The following is a 7,174-nucleotide window of genomic DNA, read 5'->3' as shown; positions in this document are numbered from 1 at the left end:
CACATTGGCCTCTTGTCTTTTGTCTGAACACAGAGCATGTTTCAGGTAGGTGCTTGTGAGGTGAGGTTGTATTTTACTTTTTTCCATTGGCTAGTGCTTGGTTGGAAAGAGTGACAATGCAATTTCCTTAGAAAAGTAAGCCATCTTGATCCCATTGGTACTGGCAACATTGAGACACTTTTAAAAAGAAACAAGTCTTGAATTTGTATTGAGAAGGCCACACTTTCTGGTCCTTACCATTCTTTGTCACTGAAAAAAGTGTAGAGAGAGGAAACATTTTGTGAACTGAATTAGTCATCAGATCATTAGATAGATGACTGAGTGTGAGTTTCACTTTGGCTTGATTTTCATTTCTTCTTTCATAGCATTTTTACAAACGATGGTTATTGAAAATCTAGATATAGCTCTGCCTGTGTTATTTATGACACAGGAAAAAACAAATCTAAAAGAAAAATAAAATAAGCCAAAAAGCAAGCAAACAAAACACCTCCAACCAGCATCTACATCATTATGACACTGCTTTTTTTTTCTTTTCCTTTATACATTGTGGATAATTGGAATACTAGCATGCATATAGTATAGTAAAATATCACTGGATTGGTACTCAGGACAACTGGGTATCATTTCTGATTAATGAATTCATTGGTTTTGTGACTTTTGAGAGTGAATTTAACTTTTCTGGACTCATATTTCTTATCTCATTGTGATATTGCTCCCAAAGGGGTTGAAAATAGATATACAGCATATCTGTGTCACCAAAATTATAGGAGGATGATTAGGAATAAAAGGTTTAAAAATGTTCTTTCTTTAGGGGGACAATAATGCAAAAAATGTTGAGAAACACTGCATTATATGACAAAGAGAAGATAATGTCTAATGTCTTTTTCAGCCTTAATTTCCTATATCTTTTGTAAGTAAAGCTTATGATCCCAGAGTAATCATTTTGAAGGACCTAAAAGGTGTATTTCAATTTTAAATAATGATTAGTGTGATCTTCTTATGGAAAGATATTCAGTATTCCTTTCAAAAATAAAACATACTTTGTTTTTCTCTGGTTTTGGGGAGATACATGCTCTTATTGAAGATTTGCAAAATATAGAAGTATAGAAAGAAAAATATGAGCACTTGTGGTGGAATGTACTACTAGCTAGTGACCAACATCTATTTTCTCTTTTTTTGAATCTACTGTTATATTTCTGGACTTCTTTGATGATAGATGCACATGTGACTGAATCTAGTCAATAGAACATAAGTGGAAGTGTCCTATTTCGAGGTCTGACCTATAAAAGCCCTGGATACAACCTCCCCTCTGCTTTTTAATTATAGTTACATGGAATAGCAATCCTCTAGGATAACCTTGGAGGTCACTGGAATCCTGGCTTCCTAAATGAATTCATATCTTTTTGCTGACAATGAGCTAGTTAAGACTCATCCATTCATATGATATATTATTTTATAATATCATATATTACTGCTATCATCTGAATGTTAGTGTTTTCTATAAATTCATATGTTGAAATTCTAGCTCCCAAAGTGATGGTATTGGAAGGTAGGGCCTTTGGGAGGTGATTTGATCATGAGGGCAGAGCCCTCATGAGTGAGATTTATATCCTTGTAAAAAAAGCCCCAGAGAGCTGCCTTGCCCCTTCTACCATGTGAGGACACAGTGAAAAGGCAGCATCTATGAGAAAGCAGGCCATCACCAGACACCAGATCTGCTTGTGACTTTATTGGGACTTGTCAGCATCCAGAACTGTGAGAAATAAATTCTTTTGTCAATAAGCCACCTAGTCTATAGTATTTATTTATTTATTTATTTACAGTAGCTTGAACTGACTAAAACAGAAAGTAGTACTGAGAGTGAGGTGCTGCTGTGACAAGTACCTATAATGTGGAAGTGGCTGTGGAACTGGATAATGGGCAGAGGCTGAAAAAGTTTTTAGCTGCATGTTAGAAAAAGCCTGCATTGTCACGAATGCACCAGAAAGGGTAATTCTTATAAGGGCTCAGAAGAAGTGAAGAGCTCTAGAAAAAACCCTCAATCTTCTTAAAGACTGTCTAAGTGGTCATGAACAGAATGTTGATAGAAATATGGATGGTAAAGGCCATTGTGATGAAATCTCAGACAGAAGTGAGGAATATATTATTGGAAACCAGAGGAAAGGAGATCTTTGTTATAAAGTGGCAAGAACTTTGCCTAAATTGTATTCATGCCTTAGTGTTTTGTGGGAGGTAGAACTTGTGAGTCATGAAATAGGATGCTTGGCTGAAGAAATTTTTAAGCAATGTGTTGAAGGTGCAGAATAGTTTCTCTTGAATGCTTATAGTAAAATATGAAAAGATAAATGATTTAAAGATAGAATTTTAATCAAAAGGGTAGCAGAACTACAAGATATTGACAATTCTCAGCCTGTTTATATTGTAAAATATGAGAAAGTATGTTTGGGAAAGAACACAAGGGTTTGACCAAGAGACCATTTGATAAGGAGATTAATATGGATGGGTCTGGTGGTATTCATCAAGACAATGGATCACTGGTGCTGCTGTCATAACAGGCCCTGTCTTAGTTCACTTTGTGTTGCTGTAATAGAATATCTCAGACTGGGTAATTTATAAAGAATAGAAATTTATTTTCTCACAGTTCTAGAGGCTGGAAACTCCCAGATCAAGGTGCCAGCATCTAGTGAGGGTCTTCTTATTGACTCATCCCATACTGGGAGGTGGAAGGGCAGAGAGCAAAAAAGAGAGAAAGGTGGCTGAATTAATTTCTTTGTAAGGAACTCACTCCAGTGATAATGAACCCACTCTCATAATAATGACATTAATCCATTCATGAAGACAGAGCCCTCATGGCCTAATCACCTCTTAAAGATCTCACTTCTTAATACTGTTAAAATGGCAATTAAATTTTAACATGAGTTTGGGAGGGGACAAACATTAACACCATAATGGGCCTATAGTGCCAAGGCCTTGAGGGCACAATGATTTCAAAGGAAAGACTGAAGGCATTTGGGGGGACTTCAGTGCAAGCTGCCTCAGGCTGCCACTTGGCTCTACTCTCCAAATTCTTGTGCCATGCTGGAGCTTTTCATTTCCTCCAGGTTTGGCCCCAGTAGGCTTAGGTGCAGCACTGGCCTTGGTTGCTGCCTCTCCAGAGGGCACAGGTGATAAATCATGGCAGTGTCAGTTCAGGTCCACCTCTGCTGCTCTCAGAGTGTGGAAGCCATGGGGTGTGTCTGGCTACCACCATCTAGATTTCCAAGGCTTGAGTCACCTGGAGCCTCAGGCATGAGACTTAGGCAGAGAACTGCTTAAGGGGTGAGACCACAACAGAGAGTTTCCACTAAGGCAATGCTCAGTGGAACTTTGGGAGCAAGGCTACCCCTGTAACCCCAGACTGGTAGAGCCATTGGCATGCAATTCCAGTTCAAGAGTGCTACAGGCAAGAGACTTCAACCTGTGAGAGCTGTAGAGAGGACAGGGCTGCCCAAAGCCCTGGAGGCAGGGCTTCCTTGAGTCTTGTGGGCCCATACTCTGCCCAGCAATACTGCAGAAGTAGAACCTCTACCCCAGTGGGCGTGGAAGACAAAGCTTCAAGTCAAAGAAGCTTACTGTTAAACGTTAAGGTCTTGATCTTACTAGGGAACTGTTAACACTTTCTTCTTCCCTATTTCTCCCTTTTGGTTTGAGAATGTCTATCCTGTGCTTTTCCCACCATTGTATTTTGGAGACACATAACATGTTTGATTTCACAGGTTCACAACTAGAGAGCAACTTGCTTCAGAATGATTAGTAATTTGAGTTCCACCCATATCTGATTTTGATGACATTTAGATGAGACTCTGGACATTAAACTTTTGTGTTGATACTGGAATGAGTTAAGACTTTGGAGGCTATTGGGATGAAATAAGTTTACTTTGTATGTGAGAAGGACATGAATTTTACAGGCCAGAGGTGGAATGCAAAGGTCTGAATTCCTGGGTCTTGTCAAAATTCATGTGGAAATCCTAACCCCCAAGGTGATGGTATTAGGAGGTGGGGGCTTTTGGGAAGTAGTTGGGTTATGAGGGCAGAATCCTCATGAATGGGATTAATGTCTTCATAAAATGGGCCCAAGGAAGCTCTTTTGCTTCTTCTACTATTTGAAGACAAAGTGAGAAGTCTTCGTCTATAAATCGGGTAAAGGTCCCACATCAGGCACTGAAACGGTTGGCACACCGAATGAATTTCCCAGCCTCCAAAACATAAGCCACTCAGCTTATGGTATTTTGTTATAGCAGCCCAAACAGACTAAGACAATTACTATATGCCAGGACTACTGTTCTATGTATTTGAGACTGATGTGTGAACAATCAGAAAACACACACACACACACACACACACACACACATACATGCTAATGTCATATCTAGTAAAGATGTTGATCATCTCTATCTGCTCTGTCCAATATGGTAGCCACTAGTCATGTGCGACTATTTTTACTTAAGTAAAAATGTAATTTTTCAGTCATACTAGCCACACTTCAAGTGTTCAATAGCCACATGTGGCTAGTGGCTACCATATTGGACAGTAGAGACATAGAACATCTTCACAATCATAGAAAAAAATTCTAATGGAGAGCACTGAGCTGTACTGTTGAATATTATGCTTATACAGGTACACATGTACACTTTGAACACTTTGTATACGCACACATGCACAAACATACATATATTAATAGATAAACATATACACATTTTACAGCCAGGAAGGAAAGGTAATGAATCCAAATACCTAAATTGTGTTGTGACTATCCACAGTGTCCTTTCTATTGTAGACCAAATAATATGTTGATTTGAATCAAAATTATGGAAATTCATGAAGGGGGTGATGGGCATTACTGTTAAGAATGGAGTAGAACCAAGTGAGTATAAGGCTCTACTCTTTAATTTCTCTTCTCTCTCCTTAAACTGTCTACTCCATTTCATTCTCCAAAAATGAAAAACTGCTGCATAGGTGAGCACTTGGTTACTTAATTAGACAACTGAAATGTGAGGATGAAATTCCTATTCGTTAGTAGAATGGTTCCTGCTGGATATGATTATTCCTTTCTATCAATACTGTCCTAGTGGTGGTGACACCAAGTTCTTCCCTTTCTAGGTAGAAGAAAAGTAGAGGAGTGTCTGGGAAATTTTATCTAGTGTGATGGTTCTTAATTTGGGGATGGGAGCATTACCTATTAGGGATGAAAAACTGAGTCCTACATGATACTGATACTCTTCACCCTCCTTCTCCCCATCACTCCAATTCTTGCCCTTTATGTTATGAACCTGTAGTCTTATTGTTTGGTTTGTACTGAGCTTTGCTCAGTCAATTTTATACCATGTTACATACTAATGAGTCACAGAGCCTTGGACAAGGCTGGTCTGCACAGATCCCAGAACAGTAATAACTCTTCTGTTTTCATCACGGTTTCTAGAGTTTGATCTAACTTAAAAAAATAAGGAAGAAGATGAAAGTGTGGTGTCCAAGTTACATAGACTTTGCTTTTTTTTTTTTTTTTTTTTGTGACGGAGTCTGGCTCTGTCGCCCAGGCTGGAGTGCAGTGGCACAATCTCGGCTCACTGCAAGCTCCGCCTCCAGGGTTCACGCCATTCTCCTGCCTCAGCCCCCTGAGTAGCTGGGACTACAGGCGCCCGCCCCCGCGCCCAGCTAATATTTTTGTATTTTTTTAGTAGAGACGGGGTTTCACTGTGTTAGCCTGGATGATCTCGATCTCCTGACCTCGTGATCCGCCCATCTCAGCCTCTCAAAGTACTGGGATTACAGGTGTGAGCCACCGCGACCGGCCCAAGTTGCATAGACTTTCAAATAATCTAAGCAACATTGGGTTTCTTTCCCTTTAAGTTAATCCTCAGTTTTATGTCCAGGTGTTGGAACCTCACAGGGAGAGAAAAATGGAAGGGTTGATTTAGTTTCCTGCCACACTACACTCCAGTAATTAGGACTATATAAAACTTTCAGGTGTCAGGATAGCCAGTAATTTTCTAATGATATAAAACCAATGCCTGGTGTTTTACTGGTTCTACATATTATATAACTGTCAGGAAAACAAGAGCCAAACTCTTTCTTCTTAGCTTATTTACTGACTTAGGAAATCTAGTTGTCAGTAAGTAGGTATGAAAATTGGTGTCAGGGCATTATGAAACTTTCAAAAAAATGTCACAATTACCCCTCCCCCCACACCCCAAATGCCTTCCGCCTTCCCCACACACCAGCTTTCTTTGCTGATTTAAAAGAAAGCATCTCTCCTTCAATGAAATGACATAAAAAGGAAATCAAAGGGTTGGGGCCAGTACACCTAAATTTATATCAGAGCTTTCCACAAGGCAATCTAAAAAGCTCATTTATTTTCATTCTTATATTTTTCTAGCCTACGAAAACTGCTAAGCCCTTTGGAGGTCCCTGCTGGTAGAATACCTATCTAATGTGTGATATGGGGCCCAATGCAATGATTCTTGAATGGTTTTCAAACTGGTTTTGAGGAGCTAGTGGGCCACTTTATAACAAGAAGAAGCATTTAGAATCCTGACATTTAAAATTCTGCCCCCCAGTGTGCAAACAATACAAGAAGAAAAGCTGTGCCCTAGTTGGGCTTCTGCTGTGCTAATTACAGAAATGTAAAGCCCAGCTGTGGTCAGACCAGCTTATCAAGGAGAGATGTGTTAGACCAAGAGAGCAAAAGAAGGACCGAGATGTTTTTACATTTAATATGAGCGAAAATACTTTTAGACTAGTGTATGACCATGTGACTGGAGCTCAACAGCTAAGCTAAGGTTTCTTTAGCCCTTCTATATACAAATTAATAATGATATATAAACCCATTCTGTTTAAAAACTAAAGGTTCTTGACACCTGTTCCAAATCCATAACAACCCTCCTCTACCCCACAAGGAAATCAAATCAACAAAACCACACCAAATAGGCAAATTTTAACTAAGGAAGTTTTATTTAAATTTTTTAAAATTTTCTATAAGTTATTGGGGTACAGGTGGTATTTGGTTACATGAGTAAGTTCTTTAGTGGTGATTTGTGAGATTTTGGTGCACCCATCACCTGAGCAGTACACATTGCACCATATTTGTAGTCTTTTATCCCTCGCCTGACCTCCCACTCTTCCCCATAAGTCCCTGAAG

The 7,174-nt window shown here is 39.3% G+C and overlaps 1 annotated feature.

Moving 5' to 3' along the window:
- Positions 352 to 451: an enhancer, noted in NCBI's record as "active region_1289". NCBI's record gives its function as "activates an Ori minimal core promoter by ATAC-STARR-seq in GM12878 lymphoblastoid cells {active_cell/tissue: GM12878}" and the evidence as "EXISTENCE:reporter gene assay evidence [ECO:0000049][PMID:35858748]".

Source organism: Homo sapiens, chromosome 1, assembly GCF_000001405.40.
Source record: "Homo sapiens chromosome 1, GRCh38.p14 Primary Assembly".
Taxonomy (NCBI): Eukaryota; Metazoa; Chordata; class Mammalia; order Primates; family Hominidae; genus Homo; species Homo sapiens.
Note: the sequence above shows the minus strand (reverse complement) of the source record. Positions and strands in the feature narration are given on the sequence as shown.